Source organism: Homo sapiens, chromosome 17, assembly GCF_000001405.40.
Source record: "Homo sapiens chromosome 17, GRCh38.p14 Primary Assembly".
Classification (NCBI taxonomy): domain Eukaryota; kingdom Metazoa; phylum Chordata; class Mammalia; order Primates; family Hominidae; genus Homo; species Homo sapiens.
Genome location: NC_000017.11, coordinates 13,816,116 through 13,836,525, shown reverse-complemented (window position 1 = coordinate 13,836,525; position 20,410 = coordinate 13,816,116). Strand labels below are relative to the sequence as shown.

Sequence of the window (20,410 nt, the reverse complement as noted above, 5' to 3'; positions counted from 1 at the left end):
GTTGTAAGTTATGATGAATAATAGCACTGGGCTAGGAACTGCAATAATAACAACACAATGACAATCACTATTACTACCATCATTGGACTGTTCCTTGCTGATATGTTTTGAATCTGTGTCCTTGGCCAGATCTCATGGTGAATTGTAATCCCCACTGTTGAAGGCAGGGCCTAGTGGGAGGTGACTGAATCATGGGAATGGTTTCTTATGAATGGTTAAACGCCATCCCCCTTGGTGCTGTTCTCATGATAGCGAGTGAGTTCTTGTGAGATCTGCTTGTTTAAAAGTGCATAGCACCTCCCTGTCCCCTCTCTCTTTTGCTCCTGCTCTGGCCAGGTAAGAGGAGCGTGCTTCCCTTTTGCCTTTTCCGTGATTCCTTTTTGCCTTCTGCCAGAAGCTGAGCAGATGCCAGCATCATGCTTCCTGTACAGCCTGTGGAGCCGTGAGCCAATTAAACCTCTTGTTTCTTTTTTAAATAAATCACCCAGTCTCGGGTATTTCTTTATAGCAGTGCAAGAATGAACTAATTCACCTGTCGTGTGCCAAATATTATTTATTTCTCACAACATGTGTGTGAGGTGGCATTGCTCTTATTTTATAGATAGGAAAATATGCTCACCAAAGTCAAATACCATTCTCAAAGTCATCTAGTTAATACTTGTCGATTACATGTATTCTGCAAAATCTTTAAGGAAAATTCCATCTCAAATGGTAAAAACAAAGCAGAAGGTTTATTATCTCACATGACAAAACACTCAAAGGCTCATTCATTCAGCAGCTCAGTGGCATCATCAGAATTTAGGTTCTTTCCAACTTTCTGCTCTGTCAAGCTTGTAAGCTTTGTTTTGCTCAAGGGTGCAAGATGGCTGCAGGAGTTCCAGGCATTGCATGCGTAAGAAGAAGGCCGTGTCTTTGTGCGTGTATATGTGCATGTGTATGTTTCCTGTCAATAACAACAAAGAAAATATTTATTAAAAGTTCTCCAACAAGCTTCCCCATGTCATTTTCAACAGAATTGCACCATATGCTTAGGAACAGTTACATAATTTGCAGGGCTCAGTGCAAAATTAAATTCAGGATCTCTTGTTCAACAGTTACTAAGAATTTTAGGATGATGACAAGCATTGAATGAAACATTAGGTCCTTCTGGGCACAAGACTCAGCATGGACTGGCTGCATGCCCATAGAGCCAGTACTGCCCATGCTCATGGCTAAGCTGCATTTGGCCCTTCGACAATGCTGTGGTTTGGTGGTGCCGATCTCTGCACAGTCAAAACTTGGTGTATAACTTAACCACTAATATCCTACTGTTGACTGGAAGCCTTACCAATAACATAATAGTCAATTAACACATATTTTATATGTTATATGCATTATATACTGTATTTTTACAGTAAAAGCTAAAGAAAAGAAAATGTTACTAAGAAAATTAAAAGGAAGAAAAAATATATTGCCTATTCACTAAGTGGACATAGACCATTGTAAAGGTCTTCATCCTTGTTGTTTTCACATTGAATAGGCTCAGGAGAAGGATGACAAGGAGGGGTTGATCTTGCTCTCTCAGCATTGGTGGAGGCGGAAGAAAATCTGTGTATAATTGGACCCATGCAGTTCAAACCTGTGTTGTTCATGGATCAACTGTAATTATAGACAAAAGGAATAGGGCCACTATCACTGGCTTAGCTGAACTGAGATTTATTCCTCAAACTTGGGGTAGGGGCCGCCCTTCCTGGAACCATAGGGAGAGGAGTGGAAATTGAAATGAAATTGAAATTCTGCCACGCAGGGAGGTAGAGGAAGGGAAGGGTGTTTATTGGTAATCAGCAGTGTCGGATTGCAGTGTGTGTATCTCCAAGGTTTCTGTTTGCCTTCCTATATTTTGCTGCCTCCCAATAGTCCATATTTCTGGGATCTAGCTCAGTTCTGCCATGATGTGGCTTTCAGCAAATGGTTTCATTTCTTCAAAACTTCAATTTCTTTATCCGTAAAACTGGAATATATGGGTGTCTCCACATTTCAGGGTGTGATCCTCATGCCTCTGCATGTTCATCACCAGAAGGTGGAATCCTGGGCCCTCTCCCTAGGTGATATTCACAGCAAGTTTGTAACAATTCCCACTATATGTGGTCAGACATCTCCTTGGACTGACAGGTCTCTGGGAAATGTTAGCATGATGCTTCCTGCATTTAGGGGCTGAGGGAGAAGAAGGTAGGGAAAGGGCACTGTTTCTTGTTTTGGCCATAGTATGAGAAGCACTGGGAGCAGAGTCAATGCTGTCGTTAAGTCCTAGATGTACAGTGAAACTCAGTCTTCCATTCCACCCTAGATGCAGAAACTGGAATGATGCCTTTCCCTAGCAGGTGTTTTTGGTTCACACACTGGGCTCCTTCTCAGATCATGCAGTAGATTACAAGATGACCACAAATATTTCTCCTCCCACTCCCTTGCCCTTGCTTGTTAGATTGCAGCTTCTCTCATCAAGAGGTGGAGTCTATTTTTCCTCTCCTGAATCTAGACTAGCCTTAAGACCGCCTTTGAGCAGTCAAACAGTAATAAACATGGCTAAAGAGGAGATGTAAAAGCATTTGGAAATGAAAATGTGTCCTCTATTTCTGGATTTTGGATCCTTGAGCCTATTACGGGAAGAAGCTCAGACCTGCTTGTTGGAGTTGAGGGGCCATGAGAGTTGAAGTTCCCTGATCAACAAATCTTCCAGCCACCAGATATGTGAATGAGATGCTCTTGCATTCGTTTTCTATTGCTGCCATTAAAAAGAAAAATACCACAAGCTTAGCAGCTTAAATAGCGCACATGTATTATTTTACAGATCTGCAGGTCAGTAGTCCAACATGGTTCTTACTGGGCTACAATCAAGGCATTGGCAGAGCTGCATTCCTTCTGGAGGCTCTGGGGGAGAATCCATTTCCTTGCCCCTTTCCATCTTGAGGCCACCTGCTTCCCTTGGTCCATGGTCCGTTCCTTTATCTTCAAAGCAAGCGGTGTCTGCTCATCTCATTCCCATAGCACAACTCTGACATTGACACTTCTGCCCCTTTCTTCCATGTTTAAAGTTCCTTGTAATTATATTGAGCCCCCTTGGGTAATCTGGGATAATATCCTTATTTTAAGATTAGCTGATTAGAAATCTATCCATATGCAATTTTGATTCTCCTTTTCTTTTCTTTTTTCTTTGAGACAGAGTCTCGCTCTGTCTCCAGGCTGGAGTGCAGTGACACGATCTCAGCTCACTGCAACCTCTGCCTCCCAGGTTCAAGCGATTCTCCTGCCTCAGCCTCCCAAGTAGCTGGAACTACAGGTGTGTGCCACCATACCCAGCTAATTTTTGTATTTTTAGTAGAGACAGGGTTTCACCATGTTGGCCAGGATGGTCGTGATCTCTTGGCCTCGTGATCCGCCTGCCTCAGCCTCCTAAAGTGCTGGAATTATAGGCATGAGCTACCACGCTGGGCCTAATTCTCCTTTTCTATTTCATGTAACATACAGCTTCTGGGGATTAGGACATGAACCTTTGCAGGGGAGTGATATCTGCCTACCATGAAGCCCATGCTGTAAACCACTATATTAATTAAATCTTCTTATCCCTACATCTTAGCTGGAAAGATCTGCATAGGGACTCAAACAGTCTTTGAAAGAATTCATCCCAGTACTCCTGGTTTGATAAATATACATTTTTTCCCATCCCCAATCCAGGTAAGAATGGGCATTCCTTGCTTATTTGGGTTGTTGGGAGAAATCAGTTTCTTGTAGTTGTATGGTTGAGATCTTTATTTTCTTGCTGGTTGTCAAGTGATGATCGTTTCAACTTTGAAAATCTACCCATACTCCTTGGCTTAAATCTCTCTTGTTCTCGCTTCCAAATTGATAATGGCAGGTCATATCTTCTCATGCTTTGAATCTCTCCTCCTCCTTCTTCCTTCCCATTTCTTACACCCAGTTGGAAAAGGTCCTCTGTTTTTAAGGACTTGTGTGATTAGACTGGGTCCACCCAGATAATCCAGGATGATCTTCCATCTCAAGGTCTACACTCTTCATCACATCTACAAAGTATTTTTTGCCATGTAAGATAACATATTTATAAGTTCTGAGGATTAATTCATGGACATTTCTGGGGACCCTTATTCTGCCTACCACATTATCCTAGATCATCCAACTGACCTGCCAGCAGACCAGGGATGTCTGAGCAAGGCCAGCAGACAGTAACTGAGCTGGATCAGACCAGAAGACCTACTCAGCTGACCCATAGAATCATGAGCTATATAAATGGTGTTTGTTCTAAGCCACTAAGTTTTGGGGGTGGTTTGTTATGCAGCAATAGATAACTGATGCAAACAGCTAGCTGGTTCATGGTTGAATCAGTTATGCCCGAAATCACAGATATAGGGTCAGTGTCCTGTATTCCTCTACCAGTCTTCCCTGGGGAGATGGGCAATGTATCTTTTAAGCCCTTGGCTCACGCCTGTAATCCCAGCACTTTGGGAGGCTGAGGCGGATGGATCACGAGGTCAGGAGTTCGAGAGCAGCCTAGCCAATATGGAGAAACCCTGTCTCTAATAAAAATACAAAAATTGGCTGGGCATGGTGGCTTGCACCTGTAGTCTCATCTATTCTGGAGGCTGAGGCAGGAGAATTGCTTGAACCCAGGAGGCGGAGGTTGCAGTGAGCCAACATTGCAGCACTGCATTCTAGCCTGGGCGACAGAGCAAGACTCTGTCTCAAGAAAAAAAAAAAAAAATTAAAATATGTTGTTGTCCTGAATTTTGGGCCCATATTCTCTGAACTCAGTATTTTTAAACTAAAGCTTCTCTACAAGGGATTGATCACAGGTTGCTTTTACATCTCTAAAAGGGGCTAGTTTTATACAGCTTTGCCTGGAAAATGGGACTACTAGCCCTATATTCACTCTTCTAAGTGCAATCACCTCCATGTTTCTAATGTGTTCTGACCCTCCATTGTACCTTCCTGGTCCCCACTTTCTAAGGGAGTCTTCAATTAGTTAATTTAAGGCACCTTTCTCATTGAAAAATAAAGAAAAAAATAATCTCTAGAAGGGTACCCTGCCATGGGGAAAGCAATGCATACTTTACAAAACTGTTAAGGATGAAGTGGTAACACAGAAGTATTTATCACAGTGCCTTGAACATTGCAGATGCCCTATCAATGTAAATTTCATTCTTGTCCCATTTTGACAATAACTGTTTGTCTAGGCTTCGCACATTATTAATTTTTGGAGGGTGTCATCTTTCTTATTTGTAAAATGAGAAAGTGAGAACAAAGAACTCCTAGAATGCATTTTTTCTCTAAATTTATAAATTGTGATTCAATTTTTGTTTTTAAATTTAAAAACATTCTGGTGAAAGTAGAGTTGTAGATATTTTAATATGGTACTAAAACATCAACTAATTTTTACTAATAATGACTGTGTTTGGGTGTCTGATAAACAGAGATGAAGCAACAAATGAAACAATAAAATACAATTATAAATGAATATATATATATGTGAGACATTAATAATACATTTTGGTTGAGAGTCACAGTCATATTGAGGTAGGAAATATGAGGACTCATTTTTTTTTTTTTGAAACGGAGTTTAACTCTTGTCGCCCAGGCTGGAGTGCAATGGCGCGATCTTGACTCACTGCAACCTCTGCCTCCCAGATTCAAGTGATTCTCCTGCCTCAGCCTCCCGAGTAGCTGGGATTACAGACATGTGTCACCATACCCAGCCAATTTTGTATTTTTAGTAGAGATGTGGTTTCTCCATGTTGGTCAGGCTGGTCTCAAACTCCTGACCTCAGGTAATCCATCCACCTTGGCTTCCCAAAGTGCTGGGATTACAGGCGTGAGCCACTGTGCCTGGCTATGGAGACTCATTTTTAAGTCCCCTCATTTTAAGAAATATGGGGAAATTTTGGGATTGATAAGGAATACCAGAAGGAACCCTGAGTTTTTCTCTAAGTAGTCCCAAATGTCTTCATGGAAGATGATAGTAGGATGCCAGAGAATGCTATCACCCAGGAAAGGACCCCTGTATTATTCTTCTATTACGGTGTAACATATTAGTACAAACTTAGTGGCTTAAAACAACACACACTGATTATCCCATAGTTTCTATGGGTAGAAGTCCAGGCACAGCTTAGTTGGCTCCTCTGCTTAGTATCCAACAAGGGTGTAATCAAGGTGTCAGCCAGGACATATTTTCCTGAAAGACAGACTGGGGAAGAAACCACTTCTCAGCTGGGAAAGAAGCCACTTCCCAGCTCTCTGAGGTTCTTTGTATCATTTCATTTCCTTGTGGTTGGGGGACTGAGGCTCTAGCTTTTTCCTTGGCCGGAGGCTGCTCTCAGCTCCTAGAGTCTGCTGCCTGTATTTTCTTGGAGGACACCTATGGTTCTTAGAGACCACCCATACTTAGAAAGCACTCATACTTCTAAACCATGTGGGCTTTCCCAACACGGCTGCTTCCTTCATGAATCCAGCAAGGAGAGCCTCTAGGATAAATCTGCTAATAATACAGAGTATTTTATAACATACCATAATCATGGGAATGACATCCCATTACATTTGCTATATTCCATTGCTCAGAAGCAAGCCATTGGTCCTACCCACACCCAAGAGGAGAGAACTGCACAAAGGTGGGAACATCAAGAGGTAAAGATAATGGGGGAATCACCTTAAAGTCAGCCTGCCACACCCTCATGCAAGTAGATGGTAATCATACACAATTTGCCTTCTTTATTTATTCTATTGTCTATAGAAGTCTATATTGTCTATTATTCGATAGACAATATTTATTCTATTGTCTATAGAAGTGACTTTTAGCAAGTCACATCAGCTCTTTCCCGAGGCTTTCTTTCCATTCCAGAATGTCTCTGAGACAGCTGACCATTTTCAGGATAAGTCATTTGTCATTTGAATCAAAATTAAAAAAATGTTTATTGGCCATTTAAAAAAATGATGCGGAGTCGAGCGGAGATAACTTTAGTCAAAATTTCCCTCATTACACCTCATTAGAAAGTATAAGTCTTGCCTGACGTGGTGGCTCATGCCTGTAATCCCAGCACTTTGGGAGGCTGAGGCGGGTGGATCACGAGGTCAAGAGATCAAGACCATCCTGGCCAACATGGTGAAACCCCGTCTCTACTAAAAATTAAAAAATTAGCCAGGTGTGGTGGCACGCGCCTATAGTCCCAGCTACTCGGGAGGCTGAGGCAGGAGAATTGCTTGAACCTGGGAGACGGAGGTTGCAGTGAGCCGAGATTGCGCCACTGCACTCCAGCCTGGTGACAAAGCGAGACTCTGTCAAAAAAAAAAAAAGTATAAATCTCTCTCTGCTTTTCTTTCAATATCTCTAAGAATGAGGCTTCCCCAAGGCCCTCAGAAGCTTGGAGATGTGTTGAATTTGTGTAAAGCAGTAGGGTAGCACTGGTACAAAGGGGCAGGTAGGAACTTACATTGCTCTTGCTTGACAGACTTTGGGTCATTGAGGAAAATAAGAATTTTCTTAGCAAAGAAAATTTGTTCAAATGTGAACTAGAAGGCAAGTTTCATAAACAAACCCTGGAAAGGAACTGAACCAAGTCACAACTTTCCAATTTTCATTACAGTTTTGAAAAGCACAGAATTAAATTTAAAACAAATGTTTTCTCTTGCACACACCTCCATCCAACGTGGGACAGTATCGAAGTGGATGAGAGTCCACACTTTTTCCTGTCTGCTCAGATTGCCTTAACAACAGAGCATCTGTATGTCCAAACAAATGGGCAAGTGAGGAGATTAATGAACTGACCTTTAACCTTCTAAGTATTTATTCGAGGGCTCAAGGGGAATGCATTTCTGTGCCAGGGAAAATCCCAAAACTGTCTCTGATAATTTGGTATTAAAGACAGCTCTGTCAAATGCCTCTCGAGACACTGAGTGTCGCCCTTCTCCTGACCCCAAGCTTCTTCGCCCTCACATTCCTCTCTCCTCATTCAAATGGTTGTACCCTCTTCCTTCACCATTCCTTCCTCTAAAAGAGCTTCTCTTCAAAATATTAGCTGTCATTAATTAAGCACCTACTACATCAGACTCTGTGGTAGCAATTTTAATCATCCTCATCATCATCTGATATTTTTGAACATTTACTATATTAAAAGAAATCTCATATTCTGTCATTTAATTTTGTCCTGGGCTTATAAAGTAAGTATTTTTTTAAAAAGAGAGCCAACTGTTTACTTAGGTATTAGTTACTTAATATCAGAAGATGAAGTAGGAATTAGGTTTCTTAAAAACTTGATTACATAGAGAAATAGGAATGCTTTTACACCATTGGTGGGGGTGTAAATTAGCTCAGCCATTGTGGAAGACAGTGTAGTGATTCCTCAAGGATCTGGAAACAAAAATATCATTTGACCCAGCAATCCCATTACTTGGTATATACCCAAAGGATTATAAATCATTCTACTATAAAGAAACATACACATGTGTGTTTATTGCAGCACTATTTGCAACAGCAAAGACTTGGAACCAACCCAAATGCCCATCAAAGATAGACTGGATAAAGAAAATGTGGCACATATACACCATGGAATACTATGCAGCCATAAAAAAGAATGAGTTCATGTCTTTTGCAGGGACATGGATGAAGCTGGAAACCATTATTCTCAGCAAACTAACACAGAAACAGAAAACAAAACACTGCACTTTCTCACTCATAAGCGGGAGATGAACAATGAGAACACATGGACACAGGGAGGGGACATCACACACTGGGGCCTGTCGGGGGGTGGGGGACAAGGAGAGGGAGAGCATTAGGACAAATGCCTAATGCATGTGGGGCTTAAAACCTAGATGACAGGTTGATAGGTGCAGCAAACCACCATGGCACATGTATACCTATGTAACAAACCTGCACGTTCTGCACCTGTATCCCAGAACTTAAAATTAAAAAAAAAAACTTGATTAAAGAGATGGCTCTTGCACATTTTCTATATATGTCCTTGTCATAACAACATGGGGAATAATTGGTATTCAAAACCAAAAGCTAGCATGAAGCAAGTCATTCTTTCCAGGCTTCTGATGACTCTTTCAATTCATATAGGTATATATGATCAACACATACACATATATGTAATTGCAGGAGGGCAAGTCATCTCTTTCTCATCCGTTGCTCTTGCAATATGACAGTGCTTTAGAGAAAGAAACACAAATATGGATCAAGAGCATAGAAATACCCCCAGAGTGGTAAGATGTGGAGTCAAATGACAAGTTTATTATGACTATTACCCTCCAAAGGCAGCCTTCCCACTGTGTATATGCTACTCCTTACATCACAAGAAAGCTTATGTTCCTTCGTCTTGAATCTAGGCTGGCCCTGTGACTGCTTTTCACCGATAGAATATAGTTAAAGTTACATCCCAATACTTTCAAGCTCAGGTTTTAAGAGATTGGCAATTTCTACTTCCTTCTTCTTGAATGCTTCTTCTTGGAAAGAAGGTGCCATGTTGTGAGGAAGACCAAACAGATATGTGGAAAGGTGTCCATAGAGGAGAACCAAGAACCTCCACCAGCAGCTCCTTCTGAGCTTACAGTTAGCAGTGAGCATAAATTGCTAGCCATGGGAATGTGGCCAATTTGGATTTTCCAGTCATTCTAATACCCCAGCCAACAACAAAAGAAGTAAAAAACCTACAGAATAAAAAATAATAAATTGTCATTTCTTTAGCAACAACAATAATAAATTGTTGTTTCATTTTGGGGTGGGTTGTTATGCTGCTATTGATAATCAGAACACTTTGATTTCTTCACACAAGGTTGTTTTCTGAAAGCCCTTTGTTGGGAACATCTTTCTTTTCCTTTCTAATTTTCTCCCCCTTTGAATTCATGTCACAGAAGCATCAGGGCTAACCCAAGACTCTTTTCTGCACAGGAAGTGGTCCAGCCACCCTTTTCATCTCTACCGTGGAAGACCTTTCAGGACCGACCTAGATGGGGTTCAGGGGAAAAGAGACGAGCAGCCAGTGGATCAGGTTTTACAGTTTTGTTTATTTGTTTTGTTTTTTAACCTGGTTTCAATGTTCTACGTCTCTACTTGACAGCAAAAGTGGTTCAATTTGGAGATCATGATCAGGTGTGGACTCGTGCAGTCCTCCAGTGGGGCTGCTTTTGCAAATACGCATTATCTGCAATGTTTCTCTGACTGACTTAGTGGCTTTCAGAAAGGCTGCTAAAGCTGTATAGGGAGTCACTGGGAAAGGTTGCTATGTTCACCACGCTGCAGGAGGCCCCGTATTTTCACTTACTCTTTAAGATTTCAGGAGCTGTGATACACCATAAGGACAGCTACATATCATTTGATTTTATGTCATTTTCAACCTGATTATGCTATCATTGTATTAATTTGTGTAGACTCTACATTGCTTTTTAATGGTCTGGTTTGCATTCTCCCCCTCAATTTTTCTGGCTGATAAAATTTTAAAAAGGACATCTGTTGTGCTAAAGATGGCTTTTTCTTTAGGATGCAAAGTCACTGGAATGTGGAGTAGCAATTTTTCTTAGGTAATAACCTCCCTCCCCTATCTTATCAAAGCAGGCTTTGGCTGTGGAAGGTCTCTCTTAATTCAATTGTTTAACTTTGCCATTTGTTGACTGGCTGAATGAATGACACCCTCTCACACCTCATTCTAGTCCCTCAAACATTTGTCTTCAACTCTGAAGAAGGAGTCTGGAATCTAGAGGTCTGGCCAGAGACTAATGAGAAATTCCAAGGCTATTTTACAAGGTTTTAATGAAGAATGCATTTCCTTTAGTGCACAGGGGAAGGCAGAAGGAAGCTGTGTGCCAAGAGATAGTTGCTGCCAATGCCAACGGCAGCTATTTACTGAGTGTCTCTCCTGTATATGGAGCCCTGTGAGATGTCTGTGGCAATGGCTCTCAACTGGGGTCCATTTTGCCTCCTTCTCCTTCCCAGAAAACATTTGGCAGTATCTGGAGACATTTTTAAATTGCCATGACTAGGGGGTGCTACTGGCATCTAGTGTGTGGAGGCCACGGATGCTGCTAAACATCTTATAGTCCACAGGACAGCCCTCCAACAACAAAGAATCATCCAGTGCAAAACATCAATAGTATGAGGGCTTGAGAATCCCTAGTCTGTGGAAATGAAGACATGCCGAACATAGCCTCTTCCCCCATGGAGTAAAAGCAAGACAAAGGGAAATTGAGATAAAATATGTGTATAATGAGGCACGAAACAGAGAGGGGTCTGCCTTGTCTTTCCACCATATGCAATGTGTCATAGAGCAAAGCTGTTCATAATAAGAACGAGCACTTACCATGGGGAGTGAGGACCCCTAGCACAAGCATGGACAGAAGAAGAGATGAGGGTCACAGAGTTCCCTGGGGTTTGGGGTTGGGTCCTGTTTTTCTATATCTTCTATCCCCCTAAGGAGAGATCTCATCCAGCACCGTGAACTTTAAATAACCTCTTTAAACTGATAATGCTCATATTTCTGTCTTAATCTCAAGCATTTCCTCTGACATTTAGACTCACGTACTCAAACAGGTGATCTTATATTTCTGTGTGGCTATCCCTTAAACGTCTGTAACTCAATGTGTCCAAAATGGACCATTTGATTTTCTCTTTCAAACTTGTTCCCTTCCCCCAAGTATTCCCTCTTCCAGCAAGTATGCACCATCCTGCCAATTGTTCAGGATAGGAACATGATTCTTCTCATTTTCCAAATACTTATATCTGACCTATTATAAAGTTTATGGATCCTACCTTTTAAATATATCTCAAAACCTCCTTCTTTATGCCATCTCTTCTGTCACTTTCCTAGTTCAGGCTGCCATGACACGTAGATCCAAAGATGAACTTCCTCAGTGGTTCACCTTCATCCTTCCCCTCTTGCCCTGCCCCATTCAATCTATACATGATACCGACATATAAAATGGATCATGCCATTTCATTGCAATAAACCTTTAAATGTCATCATTCCTTTTACACTATGATCTGCATGCCTTACCTGGCTTCCAAATCCCCATGTGGTTCAGGGGGTTAATCCATTATGACTGGTGTCATTATAAGAAAATAGAAACACACAGGGAGAAGACAGTCATGTGATGACAGAGGCAAAGATTGGAGTGGTGCATCAACAAGACAGGGAGCATCAAGAATTGCTAACAAACACCAGAAGCTAAAAAAGACAAGGAAGGATTCTCCTCTGTAGTTTTCAAGGCCCTGTGGACACCTTGATTTGGACTTCTAGGCTCCGGAACTCTGAGACAATACATTTCTGTTGTTTTAAGCCCCCAGTTTGTGGTTCTTTGTTGCAGCTGCCCTAGCAAGTTAGCGCAGATGTATCACTCCCACCTCCCTTCAGACATGCTGTCTATCTTCCTCTTACTCAACACGTCAAGCTCACTTTCTCTAGAGGCCTTTATTTTAGCGGTTCTCTCCCTCCGGAAAAATGTGTGTTCCCTTGGTGTTCACAGGCTGGATCCTCTTTGCCATTCAGATGGCAGCTTGCACGTCGCCTCTTCAGAAAGGACATCTCTGAGCATCAAAACTAATGTGGCGTCACATATGACCTATTTCACACCATCTGAAACCCTGTTTTTTGAATCTCTGCTTAGGACATGACACTACATGAATTTTTTCTTGTTTATTTGTTTATCATCAGCGTGCATCACTATCATGTAAACTTCATAAAACAAAAACCTTCTCTCTCTTGTTAACTGCTGTTCCTCCTCCACCTGGAATAGTGCCTAAGTTCAGGCACTATTCCATGAATATTTATTGCACGAATAGTGCCGTGTGATCTCCCTTATAAGCCCTCCTCTCCACTGAAACTGTGCTACTTTGATTAATATCCATCCCACTTTCCAGAGTAAAATGTTTCATGAAAACCAGAATGGGATCTGCTTCCCTCAGCATTACATGTCCATCATCAAAGACAGTGTACAGGAAAATGTTTGTTGAATGAATGAGAGAATGAATGAGTGGCTAAAACTGAGAGTCATAGCCTAAAAGAGGTAGAGATGGGTAGTTGAGGAATGGACCTCATGGTAGTGATGTAGGGAAACAGGGGAAGCAGGAGGTTGAAATCACCTAGTCAAGCACCACCCCCTCTTTTTCTAGAGATGGGGGTCTCACTCTGTCACCCAGGCTGGAGTACACTGGCATGATCAGTGGACTGATATTCCATGAATATTTTTTGAATGAAGGTATCAGTTTAAAAAAAAGAAAAGATATCTGCCAAAGTGAAGCTGGTTTGAGTGACTGGACCATAGGGAATAGGCTGTGAATAATTCGACTGGGTCTTTGAGATGGAGAGGGTAGAGACCTTCTGATGAAAGGAGTAGGGGTTTTTCAAAGAAGATTACCCTCCCATGGGTGAGAAGGATCTTAGCTCATGTTGGATGTTTGACCTTTGCTAGGAGGGGACATAATTGGTTGTGTTCCATCAAGCCCACCCTTTTTCCTCTACAAATATTTGTGCTGTGAGCTCTCCCTCTCCCAGGCCTAATGGGAGAAAGGGAGAGCCAGCACACGAGCTCTGGGCCTAATGGAGACATTGCAGTGCTATTAGCACAGATGGTTGTCATATGTATGCAAATGAGAAACAAATTGAATTTGGTGTCCCCTCTCACCAGCTGTCCTATCAAGGAAGGTTCCCAGAGCAGCAAAAGAACTGCTGCTACCCCGCTAATCTGTCACCACAGATTAATTACAACAAGTACATTAATCACCATTTGTTTCTAGTACAAAGGGAAATATCTTGTTTTTCAAGTACGTCCTGTTAAAAGAAGGTGTCCAGCCTTGTAGAAACAAGGCCTGACAAGGGCATGAAGCTTCATTAGCTAGGAATGAGGGGCAAATGAAAGATGAAACACCCCAGGCTGCACGCCACCTTCAGAGCTATCTGCTAGTGAGGATTCAAGAAGGGGCCATGAGGCTGGATGCCGAGGGACAGCTAGCCAGCTCTCACTTTATTGGATGCTTAACCAGCATGGGTATCAAAAAGTTAATTTTGCCTATGGAATCTCAAAGAATCAGGAGCTGGCTAAAAGATGTTTTGATATGAATTATTACTATTATTGTTATTTGATAGAAAGAGCAATGGATGGCCGGATGTGGTGGCTCATGCCTGTAATCACAGCACTTTGGGAGGCTGAGGTGGGAAGATTACAAGGTCAGGAGATCGAGACCATCCTGGCTAACATGGTGAAACCCTGCCTCTACTAAAAATACAAAAAATTAGCTGGGCATGGTGGTAGGCATCTGTAGTCCCAACTACCCAGGAGGCTGAGGCAGGAGAATCACTTGAACCTGGGAGGCAGAGGTCGCAGCAGTGAGCCGAGATCGCACCACTGCACTCCAGCCTGGGCAACAGAGCGAGACGTTGTCTCAAAAAAAAAAAAAAAAAAAAAAAAAAAGAAAGTGCAATGGATAAAGCACTGATTTCACCTCTGGCCATGTATCTAGTTCTTGTTCAGAAATTGGATTAGACTAGTGGTTTTTCATGCTTTTGGAGGATCAAGACCCATTTGAAATTTTTTTTAAGAGACAGGATTTTGCTATGTTGCCCAGGCTGGAGTGTAATAGTGGCTATTCACAGCTGCGATCAGAGCTCACTGCAGTCTCAAACTTCTGGCCTCAAGAAATTCTCCTGCCTCAGCCTCCTGAGTAGCTGGGACTACGGGTGTGCACCACAGTGCCCAGCTTCTATTTGAAATTGTGATGAATTCGGTAGACTTTGTTCCCACAAGGTATATGTATACATAAAATGTTATATTCAGTTAAAGTAGAGTCATTGATTCTCTGAACTCTTTGTATGCGTCCATGTTAAGAAGGCTTGGAGGCTGGGCACAGTGGTTCATGCCTGTCATCCCAGCACTTTGGGAACTCCAAGATGGGAGGATTGCTTGAAGCCAGGAGTTCAAGACCAGCCTGCACAATAAAACAAGATCCTGTCTTATAACAATATATATTTTTTTAATAAGCCAGGCATCGTGCCATATGCCCATGGTCCAACTACACAGGAGTCTGAGGTGGGAGGATCACTTAAGCCCAGTAATTTGAGGCTGCAGTGATCTATGATCATGCCAGTACACTCCAGCCTGGGTGACAGAGTGAGACACCCATTTCTAAAACAAGAGTGGGGTGGTGTTTGACTAGGTGATTTCAACTTCCTGCTTCCCCTATTTCCCTACACCACCACCATGAGGTCCATTTGTCAGCTACCCATCTCTACCTCTTGTAGACCATGACTTTCACTTTTAGCCACTCATTCATTCTCTCATTCAACCAATTGAATTCTCTCATTCAGCCACTCAAGAAAACAAACATTTTCTTGCACACTGTGTTTGATGATGGGTATGTAATGATGAGGGAAGCAAGTACCATTCTGGTTTTCATGAAACTTTTACTCTGGAAAGGGAGATAGATATTAATCAAAAAGCACAGAAACACATATGAAATTTCAATGGAGGGGAGGGCTTAGAATGGAGAATCACATGGCACTATGAAGGCAAATAATAGGGGTGTTCAACCTATCTGGAGTAAAGGAGGCTTCCCTGAAGAGGTGAGGTATATCAAGATCTGAAGGATGAGGCAAAGAAGGATGTTAGAAGAGTTCCTTGCAAGCGGGGATAGAAGTGTACATGACTTGCTCAAGAAACTGAAATAAGACCAGTGCAAATGGATTTCAGAGGCTGAGGGGTAGCATGGTGAATATGTGATCAAAGAGCATGAGGGCTCTTTTGGGTCCAGCTACGGAGGCCTGTATTTATTCCAAGAGCAAAGGGCTTTAAGCAATGAAGGATCAAATCATATTTGTATTTTTAAAAGATACCTCTTCTTTGACATTAGAATTGGGTGTCGGGTCTTGTGGTGGCCTTGGCTACTGAGTCTTTTAGACCAAGAGTTGGTCACCTTGTGATTCTATACTGGATAAAGCAAAGGATTCAAATGAAGTGGCAGCCAGTGTCCTTCTGCAGAGTAGCTTCCAGTGTAATAAGTGTCGGGGAAGAATTCAAGGATTCAGTGCCATGTCAAGAACTGATAATTGCCTTTGGGTGGAGAAAAGTCAAGAGCATTTGAACCAATTTTGGCACAAATCGTATCTTCAGAGGGCTTAGGGTCAGTTTTTGAGAATTAAAAATTCGCCAATGAGATTAACAAATATGAGCAGAGGAAGGAAGATAAAAGGTATGTGTGTGTGGAGGGTATGTGTGGAAGGAGAGGAGAGATCGTCCTTGTGAATTTAAACTGCAATTCCTTTCAACTTCCAGAAGCAGCTTTTTCAAGGTTGGCCAAACAGCTTCTTGCTTACCGTTGGGTTGTTAGAAAAATGAAAAGCAGCTCTTTAAATAATTAATATAAAATTTCACATGAAGTTCAACTAATCTGTGAGACCACAATATATTAAAAGAGGCTATATATTATATGTTATGTAATATCATAATATGTATACTAATATATAATAATATATTCTTTGCCTAGCATAGGAAGTTTAAAGAAAATGGAAATTATATCTGTGGCTTTCTATAAGCAGAATCTGGTTGCTTAAAGGGGTAATAAAAATACTAGCAAAGGGAAAGCTAATTAATAATAGTGATGGTTAATTTTATCTGTCTACTTGACTGGGTTAAGGGATGCCCAGATAGCTGGTTAAACACTATTTCTGGATGTATCTGTGCAGGTGTTTCTAGAAGAGATTAGAATTTGAATCAGTGGCGTGAGTAAAGAAGCCCCACCCTCACCAATGTGGGGAGGCATCATCCAATCTGTTGAGGACCCCAAGTAGAACAAACATGCTGAGGGAGGGCATACTCACTCTCTCTTCTTGAATTGGGATGTCTATCTTCTCCTGCCCTCAGACATTGAAGCTCCTGGTTCTCCAGCCTTCAGAGCCTAAGAGTTACACCAGCAGCCCCCCTGGTTTTCAGGACTTTGGACTCAGACTTAGTTACAGGACTGGCTTCTTTATTATTAGGTCTTTGAATTCAGATTGAATGACACCGCTGGCTTTGCTGATTCTCCAACAACTTACAGTTAAGTATATTGTGGGAGGTTTTGGCTTCCATAATCACATGAAACCAGTTTCCACAACAAATCTCTTCTTGTGTATGTCTATATATCCTACTGGTTCTGAAGAACCATTAATAATATAATAAAGGATGATTTTTATAGGAATTTCATACTTAGGAATTTATCTTAATGGAAATAAGAAAAACATCTGTAAAATATATTTATCGTAAAAAAGATGGAAAAAAATCTATATGCTCCCATTCCAACAGTATTAACTAAACCAATGATAACCTATACAAATAAATACTATGTAGTAATTTTTTTTTTTGAGACGGAGTTTTGCTCTGTCACCGAGGCTGGAGTGCAGTGGCGCGATCTCGGCTCACTACAACCTCCGCCTTCCGGGTTCAAGCGATTCTCTGCTTCAGCCTCCCGAGTAGCTGGGATTACAGGCACTCACCACCACGCCCGGCTAATTTTTTGTATTTTTAGTAGAGATGGGGTTTCACCATCATGGCCAAGCTGATCTTGAACTCCTGACCTCGTGATCCACCCACCTCGGCCTCCCAAAGTGCTGGGATTACAGGTGTGAGCCACCACACCTGGCCTATTATGTGGTAATTTTAAAGGAATGATTGAGATATAGATGTACTGACATAAAATATGTCTATGATATAGTCAGTGGGGTGACCAAAATAGACTTCAAAATATTTATTTTGTAATTCCATTGACTTAAATAGATGTTTGTAGAAGTCATCAGATGGGGACCCCATTCTCTTTCTGCTTTTTTTTTTTTTGAGACGAAGTCTCACCCTTTTGCCCAGGCTGGAGTGTAATGGCATGATCTCGGCTCACTGCAACCTCCGCCTCCCAGGTTCAAGCAATTCTCCTGCCTCAGCCTCCCGAGGAGCTGGGATTACAGGCACATGCCACCATGCCCTGCTAATTTTCTGTATCTTTAGTGGAAACGGTGTTTCACTATGTTGGCCAGGCTGGTCTTGAACTCCTGACCTCATGATCTGCCCGCCTCGGCCTCCCAAAGTGCTGGGATTATAGGCATAAGCCACTGCACCTGGCCCAATGCTGCTTATTATCTGGACTCCATCTCCTCTTGCTTTTGCAGGGACGTTACTGATATGGTTATTATACTTTTCTTATTTGTTATAAAATTACTCTTTTCTATTGGATCACTCCCATCAGCACAGTAAAAAGCTCCCATTCTCACATCCTATAGCAGCTGCTGCATCATTTACACTCATCAATTCAGTACAAAACTCAAGAATGTTGCTATAATGACTGTTTCCACCTCAACTCACTCTAGGCTGATTTCTGTCCCTACCACTCCACAAGGAAACTGCCAAGGTAACAAACTACCTTCAGACTGCCAAATGCCTAGGTCACTTCTCTGGCCTCATCTGATTCACTTGGCAGGATTTGATACCATTAACCTGGCCTCCTCTCAAATCACTTTTATCTCTGGCTTTCCTTGTCTTTTCTAGCTTCTACTTCTCAAACTGATGTCTAATGTTGAGTGCTTCAATGTTGGTCCAGGTTCCTCTTTGCTCCCCTGGATCATCTGTTCTCAACTCTACCTGCTCATTAGCGTCATCCAGAAGGTTTCTAAATGCAGTGATAATTTCCAGGCAAGGGGAATTAGAGTCCCTGGGACTGGAGCTCTGGCTGTGGCTGGTTTCGAAATCATCATGGATGATCCTTACATGCACTCAGGAATGAGAACCACTGCCCTACGTGGTCTCATTTGTTCCACAGTTTTATATAGTATCATCACTATGCTGAATTACTACTGAATTTATATCTTCAGCCTCTGGATGGAACTCCCTAAATGACCTAGGTCAGCTGGGTCTGAAGGAAACTCAGTGTCTCTTGATGGCACTACCCTTGCCTTTGGTCTTGGGGTGGGTAATAAGCACCATCATATCAAGAGAACCACACTGGGTCCTACGTCCTATGACATCCTGTGAATGTGTGCATTACACACTTGCATTTAAGAGCAGAACTTCTTTTTAAGGAACTTTCGCACAGATTGCACTGGTCTCCTAACACCATTATCTCAACAATGATGTATAATTTTCCTTGGACAGAAGATGAGTGAAAGCAATTTTGCTTTAATTCCAAATCCAAATTGGCTGTAGAAGCACCTGTCATGCTACTCTAAGTTTACACAGGCCCGTATATTGTTTGTCCCAGTATTCACCTACACACTCCTCTCACCCCAGCCATCAATGATGCCAAGCAAATTCTCCTTTGGTGGCTTTGCCATTTCATACTGTTAAGATCTGCATTAATCTCTCCTCTAGCCATTCCTTATCATCTCAAGCCAGATTCTCAGTGACATTCGTTAGTTATTTTCCTGAGTTCATTTCATATTCACTCCTATACCCTTGTGTATGATTAATTTTTTGTGTCAACTTAACTGGGCCATGGGTTGCCCAGATATTGGGTCAAACATTATTCTAGGTGTGCCCAGAAGGATGGTTTTGGATGATATTCATATTTGAATCAGTAGACTGAGTAAAGCAGATTAACTTCCCTAACATGGGCAGGCCTTATCTGATCCTTTGATGGCCCAAATAGGACAAAAAGTCTGATCCTTCTACAAATAAGAAATAACTCTTATCTGACTGCCTTTGAACAGAGACATGTTGGCCCTTCCTGGGTCCTGAGTTTGCAGACCTTTGGACTGGAACTATACCATTGGCTCTCCTGAGTCTCCAGCCTGCTGGTTGCAGATCTTAGGATTTGTCAGCATCTGTAATCATGTGAGCCAATTCCTTACAATAAATCTCTAGGTATAGATATAAATACAGATATCTCCAGTGAGTTTTGTTTTGTTTTGTTTTTTGTTTTCCTGGAGAATCCTGGGCAATGCCCCTTGTCTCTGGCAACCACTGTTTCAGCATTTGACAACATCATAATTTTTTTTTTTTTTTTTTTTTTTTTTGAGATGGAGTCTTGCTCTCTCACCCAGGCTGGATGGAGTGCAGTGGCGCAATCTTGGCTCACTGCAAGCTCTGCCTCCCGGGTTCACACCATTCTCCTGCCTCAGCCTCCTGAGTAGCTGGGACTACAGGTGCCCGCCACCACGCCCAGCTAATTTTTTGTATTTTTAGTAGAGACAGGGTTTCACCATGTTGACCAGGATGGTCTCGAACTCCTGACCTTGTGATCCATCTGCCTCAGCCTCCCAAAGTGCTGGGATTACAGGTGTGAGCCACTGCACCCAACCCATAATTTTTGAAGGCACTCATTCACTCACTTTCTTATCTGATTCGATAGTGGGGATCCACTTATCCCTGTACTTCCCTTGCGGTTTCAGCCTCCCTTCCAGTGCTCTTCTACCACCTGGATTACTGA

The 20,410-nt window shown here is 42.0% G+C and overlaps 1 long non-coding RNA gene across 3 annotated transcripts in view; it reads left to right on the top strand.

The window, feature by feature from the left end:
* The window catches only part of LOC100506974 (uncharacterized), a 108,299-nt gene that overhangs the window by 62,100 nt on the left and 25,789 nt on the right, over nt 1-20,410 (top strand). For all 3 annotated transcript variants that reach the window (XR_001752796.1, XR_001752794.1, XR_001752797.1), the window contains one exon: nt 9,929-10,028. This is a non-coding gene — a long non-coding RNA (uncharacterized LOC100506974). The remainder of the gene's footprint in view (nt 1-9,928; nt 10,029-20,410) is intronic.